The sequence below is a fragment of the Homo sapiens genome, chromosome 9, assembly GCF_000001405.40.
Source record: "Homo sapiens chromosome 9, GRCh38.p14 Primary Assembly".
In the NCBI taxonomy this organism is placed as follows: Eukaryota; Metazoa; Chordata; class Mammalia; order Primates; family Hominidae; genus Homo; species Homo sapiens.
The window spans coordinates 111,975,948-111,988,377 of record NC_000009.12 but is presented as its reverse complement, the minus strand read 5'-3'; the positions used below and the strand labels follow the sequence as shown (position 1 = coordinate 111,988,377).

At 47.6% G+C, this 12,430-nt stretch overlaps 3 annotated features.

Annotated features, from left to right (window-relative positions):
• Positions 2,760–3,109: an enhancer, noted in NCBI's record as "active region_28805". NCBI's record gives its function as "activates an Ori minimal core promoter by ATAC-STARR-seq in GM12878 lymphoblastoid cells {active_cell/tissue: GM12878}" and the evidence as "EXISTENCE:reporter gene assay evidence [ECO:0000049][PMID:35858748]".
• Positions 4,440–4,539: an enhancer, noted in NCBI's record as "active region_28804". NCBI's record gives its function as "activates an Ori minimal core promoter by ATAC-STARR-seq in GM12878 lymphoblastoid cells {active_cell/tissue: GM12878}" and the evidence as "EXISTENCE:reporter gene assay evidence [ECO:0000049][PMID:35858748]".
• Positions 4,840–4,899: an enhancer, noted in NCBI's record as "active region_28803". NCBI's record gives its function as "activates an Ori minimal core promoter by ATAC-STARR-seq in GM12878 lymphoblastoid cells {active_cell/tissue: GM12878}" and the evidence as "EXISTENCE:reporter gene assay evidence [ECO:0000049][PMID:35858748]".

The window sequence follows — 12,430 nt, the reverse complement described above, 5'->3', positions numbered from 1 at the left end:
GGCGCAGAGTAGAAAGAGGATGGAGGTAAAGAGAGGAGTGATGGATGATGGCGGTGGAGAGTTCACCTCTCTTGTGGTTGAGCGTTCAGTGGCCTGGTTAGAATTGCCGTCTCTCAAGCATACTAAAGTTTGGCATGAGCCATTCTGGGGCCAGAACTGCATGAATATTCCTGAGGGTTTCTGGCCTTCTCTTCAGAAGCTAGAAGGGTGACGCTAGGTTTGTGAAGGAGCAGGGAGAGGCCATTCTGAGCAGGGCCTCTTTCACGTGCAATGTGGGTGAGAGCTTCTGCCATGCCTTCCGTTGTGAAGGGCCTTGAGTCTCTATAGCTAAACGATTCATCATTGGCCAGGTGCAGTGGCTTACGCCTGTAATCCCAGCACTTTGGGAGGCCAAGGTGGGCTGATCACTTGAGGTCAGGAGTTCGAGACCAGCCTGGCCAACATGGCAAAACCCTGTCTCTACTAAAAATATAAAAAATTAGCCAGGCATGGTAGTACATGCCTGTAATCCCAGCTACTCAGCAGGCTGAGGCAGGAGAATCACTTGAGCCCGGGAGGCAGAGGTTGCCAGTGAGCCTAGATCGTGCCATTGCACTCCAGTCTGGGCAAAAAGAGTGAAACTCCATCTAAAAAAAAAAAAAAAGGAAAAGAAAGACAGGACAACAGAATTATGACTGAGATGGAATATTCCACTCACCAAGTGGGTGAGGGCTCTGTGCAAATTTCTCTCTCTTTTTTTTGAGACAGTCTCTCTGTCGCCCAGGCTGGAGTGCAGGGGCACAATCTTGGCTCACTGCAACCTCCACCTCCCCGGTTCAAGCGATTATCTTGCCTCAGCCTCTCGAGTCGCTGGGATTACAGGTGTCCGCTGGCTAATTTTTGTATTTTTAGTAGAGACAGGGTTTCACCGTGTTGGGCAGGCTGGTCTTGAACGCCTGACTTCAAGTGACCCACCTGCCTCGGCTTCCCAAAGTGCTGGGATTACAGGCGTGAGCCACCACACCTGGCTACATTTCTCTTACTTGTAGAAATAAATGTGACATTTTTTAACCTGAGTACAGTGCAGTAAAACTCACATCAGTTATGCTGGTTTCTAAAAACTGCCCATGTTCAGGTGTTCAGAAGGGGGAGCTCTGTGGTCTAACTTGAAGAACCCAATAGAAGGTTCCCATTGCCCCCACATAGCTCCCCTACCACCTCATCTTTGCCTGGCATTTTTGTCATTAGCATTATTCCTGTACTTCAGGTATTTCCTTAAAGAGGAAACCTTTAACCCCCATGACCTGACTGGCATGGCAGACTGCAAGGAGCTGGACCAAGAGCAGTCCTAATTAGGAGACTTTGCTCTTTGTGGTCTCTTTTCTGCATTTGGTAAAACAACCACGTCAGAGGCCAGTTTTGGCTTAACTGCCCCTCAAAGCACATGGTGTGGTGGTGTGCAGCTTCCTTCCGGGGGCCTCTGCCTCCTCTGCACCCCAGAATCTTTTCCTACCACGGAAACTGCTCCTGACCGCTATTGATCTGCATTAGCAAAAGGTGACAGAAGGCCGGGCGCCGCGGCTCATGCCTGTAATCCCAACACTTTGGGAGGCCAAGGCAGGCGGATCTCCTGAGGTCAGGAGTTTGAGACCAGCCTGGCCAACATAGTGAAGCCCCATCTCTACCAAAAATATAAGAAAAATTAGCTTGGTGTGGTGGCAGGTGCCTGTAGTCCCAGCTACTTGGGAGGTTGAGGCAGGAGAATCACTTGAACCCGGGAGGTGGAGGTTGCAATGAGCCGAGATCGCGCCACTGCACTCCAGCCTCTGCAACAGAGCCAGACTCCGTATCAAAAAAAAAAAAAAAAAAAAGTGACACAAGCACAGCGGGTCCCAAGAGTCTCACAGCCTGCCCCTGCCTCCTGACCTCTCCTCCATATTAAGGAGATGGGGAATCCTTCCCAAGTTTCCCGCTTATAATTTCTTGGATAGAGTACTCCTTTTTCAGGAAGTGGAATTGTGAGTTGCTTACTGGAAACTCCCTTCCATTAATCCTTTTTATATCCATAAGCTCAGGCCAAAAATCTCAGTATCATTCCTGATTCCTCCCTTTCTCTCACTCTCCACATTCAGGCCATCAGTGAGGTCAGTCAGTTCCATCTTCATAAGGCATCTCAAACCACAAGGACATACTTTACATAGAAAAAATAAACCTGTGTGTAGTGCATGGGGGCAATTCGCTAGCAGCTTTTCTATTGAAGAAGGCTAAAGAACACAGGAAGTGGAGGTTAAAGGTTTGACTGCGTAGGAACAAAAGTTTAGGTCTCAGGATTTTAAAACGGGGAATAAAGCTGACTTTTAAAATACACAATATTTTCCACTCTTGCTCTGCCACAAGAAAAAAACTTCTTTTTTTTTTTTTTTTGAGATGGAGTCTCACTCTGTTGCCCAGGCTGGAGTGCATTGGTGCGATCTCGGCTCATTGCAACCTCTGCTTCCCAGGTTCAAGCGATTCTCCTGCTTCAGCCTCCCGAGTAGCTGGGATTACAGGCACCCGCCACCACACCCAGCTCATTTTTGTATTTTAGTAGAGATGGGGTTTCATCATGTTGACCAGGCTGGTCTTGAACTCCTGACCTCAAGTGATCCACCCACCTCAGTCTCCCAAAGTGCTGGGATTACGGGTATAAGCCACCTCGCCCAGCCGAGAGAAAAAAAAAAAAAAACTTCCGAGAATTGATATGTGCAGTCTGCACACATATACATCCCAATTTTAGTCAAAAGGCTTGTTGCAGTCAAATCAGACTTCATACAGGCACATAAACTGGAGGGCGGAGTTCAGCCAGGTGGTATCAGTTTCAGGTGACCTGTGAGTTCCCTGGAGGCAGAGTGGTTGAGGTCATATGGTATCAAGGCTGACGGGGGGACAGGGGACTGATGGATCATGAGGACTTGTTCCTTGAGTCTGTAGCTCAGTGGTTGTTCTTCAGGACAGGGACCCTTTTAGTCAAGGCCTGGAAGGGAGTCTTTTCAGAGGAAGGAGGTGTGAATTAGGGAGACGTGGAGTGAGGGAGAGGAGTTCATTACCTCCACCAGACCATGAGCTCCCTGAGAGCTGGGCCAGAGACTGGACTCCTTTGAGGATCCAGTGAAGAGTGTTTTCTTTCTGGCACAAAGGCTGGGGTGATTCTGCGGACACAAGCAGGTGCCCTGGTATTTATTGCAAGTGCCAGATGCCAGATTCTAATTGGGATCAACATCTTCCTCACCAGCCTGAAGTTCTGCACAGATGTTGGTTTTCCTTCCCTAGAGAGGGCTCACTAATCGTTAGACCCAAAAGGAAACCCTTGTAGAGACCTCCTTCCTTCCTCCACCCCTCCACTTTATAAGAGGATGTGGCTGGCTGGGCACGGTGGCTCGCACCTGTAATCCCAGCACTTTGGGAGGCCGAGGTGGGTGGATCACCTGACGTCGGGAGTTCGAGACCAGCCTGGCCAACATGGTGAAACCCTGTCTCTACTAAAAATACAAAAATTAGCCAGGCGTGGTTGTGCATGCCTGTAATCTCAGCTACTCAGGAGGCCAAGGCAGGAGAATCACTTGAACCTGGGAAGCAGAGGTTGCAGTGAGCCGAGATCACACCACTGCTCTCCAGCCTGGGTGACAGAGTGAGAGTGAGACTCTATCACTCTGTAAAAAAAAAAAAAAAAAAAAAAAGAAGATGTGGTCATGGTGGGAGGGGTGTGTGGGGCCTCTACCACTTAGTGGCTGGGTAACTTTGGGCAAATTACCTTCCTAAGCTTGTTTTTTTTTTTTTTTTTTTTTCATTTTAAAGGTGAAAAGAATAATGTGACAAGCCTTGTAGGATTGTTATGAGCATCAAACGAGTTAATGAAGATAAAGTGTTTGATACAACAATGTCTGGTTAAACAAGGTCAATGCTCAGTACACCTTAGTTATGATTGGCACCTCCACAAGGGAGTAGGTATGGCTGAACATCTGATCCTCTGTGTCTTGGTCTGGGAAAACCCTGGATCCTGAGTAGCAAATGAGTGGGAAGAGTCCCAAGATGGTGCCAGGAAGGATGCAACAGGCAATGAACTTCCCTATCTCGCCCACCCCAATTATGACATCATCACGCTGATGGGGATTGTGTCCCCACAATGTGGCAGGAATGTACAAGGAGGAGCATCCTTAGAGGCCCAGTGCTGCTCACACCCTGCCCCTGTCTCAGCCTTCAGGGCACCCCAAGTTTGCTGTGCTCTAAGAAATGGGGAAGCACAAATTTCCAGAAAAAGCATAGCGAAGTCAACCCGAGGAGGTTGATAGAGGTTGGTGAGAATTAACTTTTGCCCAAAGAGAGACGCATGGGCTGGAAGAAAGAGAAGAGGCAATTTGTTTTGCAAATCGGGGACCTGGACCTGTCATCAAGTTTCCCACCGTCCAAAGGGGGGTTCATGGCTCATTTTCATGGGACACATGGGCTCGGGATGGGAGTGAGGAAAAGGTGACAGATACACATCTGGGTTCACACTGCTGTGGCTGCTCAGAAGGGAAGGAAAGCAGCCTCTTCTGTTTGGGGCATGGTAGGCCCAAGCCTTCTGAACTGCCCACCCAGCAGAGAAAACAGGCAGGAAGAGAAACTGAACAGAGAAGTGGAGGAGGAAGCTCACACCATGTGGTTGGTGCTGCTGTTGGTTTTACACTGCCAGAGCTAATAACCAGGTGTATTCATGAGGCTTCTGCCTTTTGATAACCTCAGACTGGGCCACATCTTCTGACTTGGCCATAAATGGGGAAAGGGCCTTACCTAAGGTCGGTACTGAGTCAGAGGTAGGACCTGGGCAGGAGGCCTTTCAGCCGTGGTGCCTGCAGGTGGAAAACCCCAGCAGCCCTTTCTCCTGCTCAACCCCCCTCTCTCTCAGGACATAGAACAAGTAGTGGTTTCTCAGTCTCCAGCCAGCTCTATGTTCCTTTCCTCCCTATGCTGCAGGTGTTCCTTTCCTCCCTCCATCACATGCTATCACCACTTGCTCTGTGTCCTGGGACAACTCTCCCCATTCAGAGCCTGATCACAGGGCAGAGGGAAATCTTCCCATCTTCCTCCTCCAGAAAACCAACACACAGACCCTCTTCTCCTTACTGATTTTATTGCTACTCACTAAAGAGAAGTAGAAAAGATCACAAAAAGCAACACATCTACGTGTTAAAAACGTAAGCAGTTTTTTCCTCTCTGATCTCTGATCTGATTCATTTGTGTATTCATTCATTCATTCATTCATCTGTCCATCCATTCATTTGTCCATCCAATGAGTATTTATTAAGCATCTGCTTTGTACCAGGGAGTGTCCTGAGCCGTGAGGATGCAGCAGTGAAAAAGACAGATGCAGACATGGTCCCTGCCCTCCAGTGGGTCTTGACTCTTGCCTTGACACAATCATGGGAGCCTGTCGACTTCTGCGCTCTGAAGTCCTCATCCCATGTAGGAGCTGAAGACAGTGCCTACAAGAGCCCACATTTTAGGGCAAAGGCAAGAATAGACAGTCTGAGTGGTTGCCCTGCACAGCCAGAAGCAGTGCAGCCAGGGGTGGATGTGCTAGTCCTGGTAGAGGAGGGGAAGCCAGAAGTCAGGGCCAAAGGGGCAGTGTCATTTGTTAAGGAGTGAGCTCAGGGCTGCAAACGAATGGGTCCAGACATTAGGAAGGGGTTGGGAGGAGGAGGGCAAGGGAGGTGGCCACTAATGGGTCAGGATGAGAGAAAGGCAAGGGTTTTGGAAATCTATCTTGCTGGGAGCTGGTTGAGTGGCAGGAAATCAAGGGTTAATGATGGTAACAACAACAATAATCCTTGTCATCAAGTGTGTATTGAGTGCTTACTGTGACTGTGCCAGCCACCAAGGCAGGCACTTTCCATATATGGTCGGTCTCACATTAAATGGTAAAGCGTTGGCAGGACATCTGCTCTTAAGCATAGAAAGGAACCAAACCTATCCTTTCTAGACCCCAGCAGAAAGTTAAGACCAAGATGAACCAGCCCACTCCTGACCCCAAGCTCTTCTTAGCATCTACATCCTACAGTGGATATAAAGATGAAATGAAGGCAGGTGACAGTTCCCTCACCCCAGGTGGACACTTTGCAATCTCTGAGTAACATCCCGTTGTTAAACTTTTGTACCTCCAGGGATGATCATCTTTGAGTGTCACCTTTCAAAGGGACACAGATTCAAGTGCCTTGGGGGCCAGGCAGGTGGTGTATATGAGTGCGAGTGAAGAAAAACCAACCCTAATTTTCAGAGCAGGAGAAAACCCATGTGGACTGAGGCCATCAGAAGCACACCTGTCCTTGCAAGCATGAACCCTAATTGCCAGATCTTCTGATATTTTTTTCCAGAGAAGTCAGAAATTCACAGATTATAATATGAAATCTCTAAATCTTTTAATTAACAAAAAGATTAACAAGTTAATTAATTGACAAAAAGTACAAAAATTGATACAATCAATCAATACCTCTCTGGGACTTCGGTTATACAAATCAAATTAAACACATTTTACACTCTCTCAGCAATATCAAAACTGAGTTCAGGCGAGGCACGGTGGCTCATGCCTGTAATCTTAGCACTTTGGGAGGCCAAGGCGAGTGGATCATTTGAGGTCACGTGTTCGAGACCAGCCTGGCCAACATGGTGAAACCCCATCTCTACTAAAACTACAAAAATTATCCGGGCATGGTGGCAGGCGCCTGTAGTCCTAGCTACTCAGGAGGCTGAGGCAGGAGAACCGCTTGAACCCAGGAGGCAGAGGTTGCAGTGAGTCGGGATTACGCCACTGCACTCCAGCCTGGGCTACAGAGCGAGACTCTGTCTCAAAAAGCAAACAAACAAACAAACAAAAAACAGTGCAAGGTCTCTGGAGCTCATTTCTAAAACATGTCAAGTCCTTCCACTGAGATAGTAACACCCTTAAGCATTGCGTGAACATCATTTTTTACCAAAACTCTAAAGCAGCTTCACAATTCCAGTAATCCATGGACTTAGGGAGGAGTGGAAAGGAGGGGGAGGATGAGAAAAGAAAGGGAAGAGAGGGGAAAGGAGAAGATGAAAGAACTGGGGGCACTGGACGTGGTGGGTGGCTCACGCCTGTAAACCCAGCACTTTGGGAGGCCGAGGCAAGTGGTTAAGGTCTCAGGTTCGAGACCAGCCTGACCGACATGGTGAAAGATCGTCTGTACAAAACATACAAAAATTGCTTGGGAGGCTGAGGCAGGAGAATCGCTTGAATCCAGGAGGTGAAGGTCGCAGTGAGCCAAGATTGAGCCACTGCATTCCAGCTGGCCGCATAGCCCCTTTTATACAAAGCCAAAGAGAGCATTATGCCAAGCACAAGTAGAATCTGTTTTCCAGAGCTGCTGCTTTCTCATGAAACCTGATTGGATAGTTGGACAGTTCATAGCCTCAAAGTCACACAAATGGTGTTGGGTAAAGAAAGTGGAAGACAGATGAGTTGAGTTATACTCTACGTGGCTACAGGCAGGACAGGTGGGGAGGAATCAGCCCCAGCCTCAGGCTGCCTGGCAAGCACGGTCCCCTCCTTGCACATATCCTAGCACAGCCTCCTTGGCATGCAGTTGGCAGGGCTTTTATAGAGGAAAGGGTTGAGACTTCACTGTTTTCACAACAATGGCTCTGTGAAGGAGGCAGAGGTAGCGTTAGAGATAAAAGAGTTAAATCTGCCCTTGGACGAGAGAGATAAGAAAACCAAGGGTGAAAGGACAGAGGCCTGGGAAGTAAATGCAATGAAGTTAGATGCCTTCAAGCAAAAGGCCAGCTGTGCAGTGCTGGGCCTTCAAGATTGGGGATGACAGGACAGATAGGGGTCCAGAGGCAGTTCTGAGCCACACAGCCCTGCCTCGCTCATCCTTAGAGACACGCTTCCTGATTTAGTTAAGAGCATGAGATTTGAAGGATGTTCACCTGGTTTCAAATCCTTGCTCCAAGGATTATCTTATTCATTCACTCAGAAAATATTGATTGAGCATTTGTGTAGTGGCAGGACACACCAGCAAACAAAACAGATAGGATCTCTGCCCTAATGGAACTTGCATTTGAGTGGGTGGAAGACAGTCAGTAAACCAAATAGTATTAATAAGCCAAATGACAAGATATCTTAGAAGGGGATAGCTAAATGCTATATAGGAGGAAAGGCTGGTGTGATGGAGCAGTAGTACGAGGCTGGGTTCTAGTTTTTATTTTTATTTTATTTATTTATTTTTAGAGACAGGGTCTCACTGTGTCACCCAGGCTGGAGGGCAGTGGCACGATCAGGGCTCATTGCAGTCTCAAACTCCTGGGCTAAAGCCACCGCGCCCAACTATTTTTATGTATGTATGTATTTATTATTATTATCATTATTATTATTATTATTTGTAGAGACTGGGTCCAACTATGTTGCCCAGGCTGGTCTTGAATTCCTGGCCTCAAGCAATCCTCCCGCCTTGGCCTTCCAAAGTGCTGGGATTGTAGGTATGAGCCACCGTCCTTGGCTAAGTTCAAGGCAGGATTTATAGAGATGACAGCATTTCAACAAAAGCTGGAAGGTGAGCAAGTGAGCCATGTGGCTGCCTGAGGGACAGCAGTCTGAGAATGGGAGACAAGCAAGGTGGAAGTATGCCCTGTGTGTTCAAGGAATGGCAAGGAGGCCAGAGTGGCTGAGCAGAGTGAGCGAGTGACAGGTCATGGGGAATGGATCACATAGTAACCAGGAGGTTTTTCTGGCTTATGGTCTGAGAGCAAGGGACAGCACTGGAGAGATTTCTTTTTTTATTTTTTTGAGACAGAGTCTTGCTCTGTCACCCAGGCTGGAGTGCAGTGGTGCAACTTGGCTCACTGCAACCTCCACCTCCCGGGTTCAAGTGATTCTCCTGCCTCAGCCTCCTGAGTAGCTGGGATTACAGGTGCCTGCCACCATGCCTAGCTAATTTTTGTATTTTTAGTAGAGACGGAGTTTCACCATATTGGCCAGGCCGGTCTCAAACTCCTGAGCTCAAGTGATACACCCACCTCGGCCTCCCAAAGTGCTGGGATTACAGGCGTGAGCCACCACACCCAGCCAGCACTGAAGAGAGTTAAGCTGAGGGGAGAGGTGCGCTGACTTACAATTGAAAACCTTTAAACAGGCGGGGCTCAGGAGGCTGAGGAAGGACAATCGCTTGAACCCAGGAGGCGGAGGTTGCAGTGAGCCGAGATCATGCCATTACACTGCAGCCTGGACAATAAGAGTGAAACTCTGTCTAAAAATAATAAAAATAAAATAAAATAAAATAAAATAAAATAAAATAAAATAAAACATTTAAACAGTTGTTGTGTTGCAGAAGGACTGCTGGGGGCCAAGGATGCAGGCCAGGACACTGACCAGGAGGCCACTGCAGTCATTCGAGAGGGAGTTGATGAGGCTTGCACCTGCCTGGCAACAGGAGAGGTGGCGGAAAGAAACAGGATTCTGGATGAGTTTAGCCTTCCCTCGTTTACTAGCTATGTGACCTTGAAGATGTCTCTTAACCTCTCTAAACCTCAGATTACTCACTTTAAAACTGTGGTGATTGAATCTCTCTCAGGGGATTATTGAGAGGATTAAATGAGATAATACATGTAAAGCCCTGAGCACCATCTCTAATAGGTGCTTCACTCATTCCCTTCATTTGCGCAAGTAATATTTTTTGAGCACATACTATGTGTTGAACACTGGAGAGATATCAGCAGAGACATAAACAAGTAACAGAATATTATTATAGTTGTAAGTGCTCTGAAACCACAAAGCATTAGTAGAATAGGGAGGACCTGTACAGGGGTAGGGAGGGTGGGGAGTGGGGAATTTTAGATAGTGAAGTCAGATAAGAGAAGGCTTTCCTGAGAGGATAATGTTAGAACAGAAACCTAAACAATGAGGAGCCAAGTATGTAGGGAACTGAGAGGAATATTCCAGAGAGGACAGCAAGGATAAAGGCCCTAAAATGAGAATGAGTTTCGTCAGAGCTGAGATGGGACTGGCTCTCAAGGTGGAGCTGGAGCAAAGTTAGATTGTGTCTTTATTTAAAATTTTGGGCCAGGCGTGGTGGCTCACACCTGTAATCCCAACACTCGGGGAGGCTGAGGTGGTTGGATCACCTGAGGTCAGGAGTTCAAGACCAGCCTGGCCAACATGGCGAAACCCCATCTCTACTAAAAATACAAAAATTAGCTGGGCGTGGTGGTGCACACCTGTAATCCCAGCTACTTGAGAGGCTGAGGCAGGAGAATTGCTCCAACCCAGGAGGCAGAGGTTGCAGTGAGCCAAGATTGTGCCACTGCACTCCAGCCTGGGCGACAGAGTAAGACTCCGTCTCAAAAAAAAAAAAAAAAAAAGATATTTTATTCACCATGGATTTTTATTGCATTAATTTTGAATTTTAGAAATGTTCTTTATGATGATTACTGAGGTTTTTGGCACCTTTCGAATTTTGCACCCAAGGGAGGCATCACTTGCCTCCCCCTAGTCCTGGCTTTGTGGGCAGAAAGAAGCTGAATAAAATGACAGCTGCTATTGATGTTGGAGTTATAGAAAGTCAGGGGTTAGGGAGACTCTCTACAGAAGTTGAGATGGGCTGGTGGGCAAGGCCTGTGATTCCGTGATTCCATGCTTTGAGCATGAAGTCAGGGTTACCGTAAAAAATAATCTAATGAGAAATATCTATCTCTCAGTATTCAATTTTTTTTTTTTTTTAGAAAAATCAAGAGCCCAGTTTACACTCAGAGCTTTTTGTCATGACCCAGACCCCCTGAGCTTTCAAGTCCACCAGCTTTCCCTTCACCTTGTTCTCTGAGGCCACATGAGTTAAGGGCACACATTAGAGTCTCCTCCAAATTACTCCAGGTAGAGGAAGAATTCTGGGGCTATGAGGTCTATTCCTAGCCTGTGCTAATGTCACTGTTCTTCCCCAGTCCTCAGGTGATCTTTTTTTTTTTTTTTTTTGAGAGGGAGTCTCGCCATGTCACCCAGGCTGGAGTGTAGTGGCACAGTCTCAGCTCACTGCAACCTCTGCCTTCCGGGTTCAAGCAATTCTCCTGCCTCAGCCTCCCACTTAGGGGGCATTACAGGCACACACCGCCATGCCTGGCTAATTTTCTTTTTTTGGTATTTTTAGTAGAAATGGGGTCTCGCCATGTTGGCCAGGCTGGTCTCGAGCTCCTGACCTCAGCTGATCCACCTGCCTTGGCCTCCCAAACTGCTGGGATTACAGATGTGAGCCACCGTGACTGGCCCGTGACCTCTCTATTCTATGCAGTTCTTTTGACAATAAGACAATGCGTGTAAACTGCAAAGCTTTAACAAAGTTCCATTTTCCGGCTCTTGCAAAGCTTCAGACCTCTCTGATACCATTGGAAGAAAACCCTTCTACCCCCTGTTCTATTACCCACCCTCCAGGACCAGCCTGGTATGTCACAAAATTTGGGTCCCCACAAGTAGCTTTGCTTTATCAGGTGTACAGAGTCTTCTGTTAGAAATCTAGACCACATCTTGTTTCGCCATTTGCAGCTTGCCTCGTTTATTTTCTCTTCGTGGGGATGGGAGAGAAATAGCTTTCTCCCTTCCTCATTTGCAGGGAATTTCAAGGCTCCTAGCAGCTTTCTCACAAATAGGCTGTAGTGACCTGCTGGGATATCTTACCCTCCTTCTCTCCATTCCTTCCTTCCTCCCTCCCTCACTTCCTTCCTTTCTCCTTTCCTCTCTCATTCAACAGATACTTTTTTGAGTATCTGTGTACATACCATTGAGGACACAGGATGAACAAGACAGACACAACCCCTTTCATGTTGAGCTCACAATCTGGTCAGGCAGACACACGAAGCAGTCACTATATAGTTGCTATGATGGGGGAGGTAGAGGGTGCTGTAAATGTGCGTAGATGGGAGGAAAGAAAATCTAGAGCCTTCTGCTCCTTTATAAAATACAGGAATGAGGTTCAGAGAAGAAAAGAGTAGTGTCGGCCGGGCACAGTGGCTCATGCCTGTAATCCCAGCACTTTGGGAGGCCTAGGTGGGTGGAGATCACTTGAGGTCGGGAGTTCGAGACCAGCCTGGCCAACATGGTGCAACCCTGTCTCTACTCAAAATACAAAAATTAGCCAGGTGTGGTGGCGTGTGCCTGTAATCCCAGCTACTTGGGAGGCTGAGGCACAAGAATCGCTTGAACCCGAGAGATGGAGGTTGCAGTTAGCCTAGATAACGACCCCGCACTCCAGCCTGGGTGACAGAGTGAGATTCTGTCTCATTAAAAAAAAAAAAAAAAAAAAAAGAGTAGTGTCCTCAGTCACAGGCTCCAGGGCTTCTTGTTTCTATCGCTTTTGCTTCCTAATAAGGGCCTCACTTTGGGGCTCAGAAGATCTCTAACAGTGAGGGGACTCCAGGTGTGTGACATAAA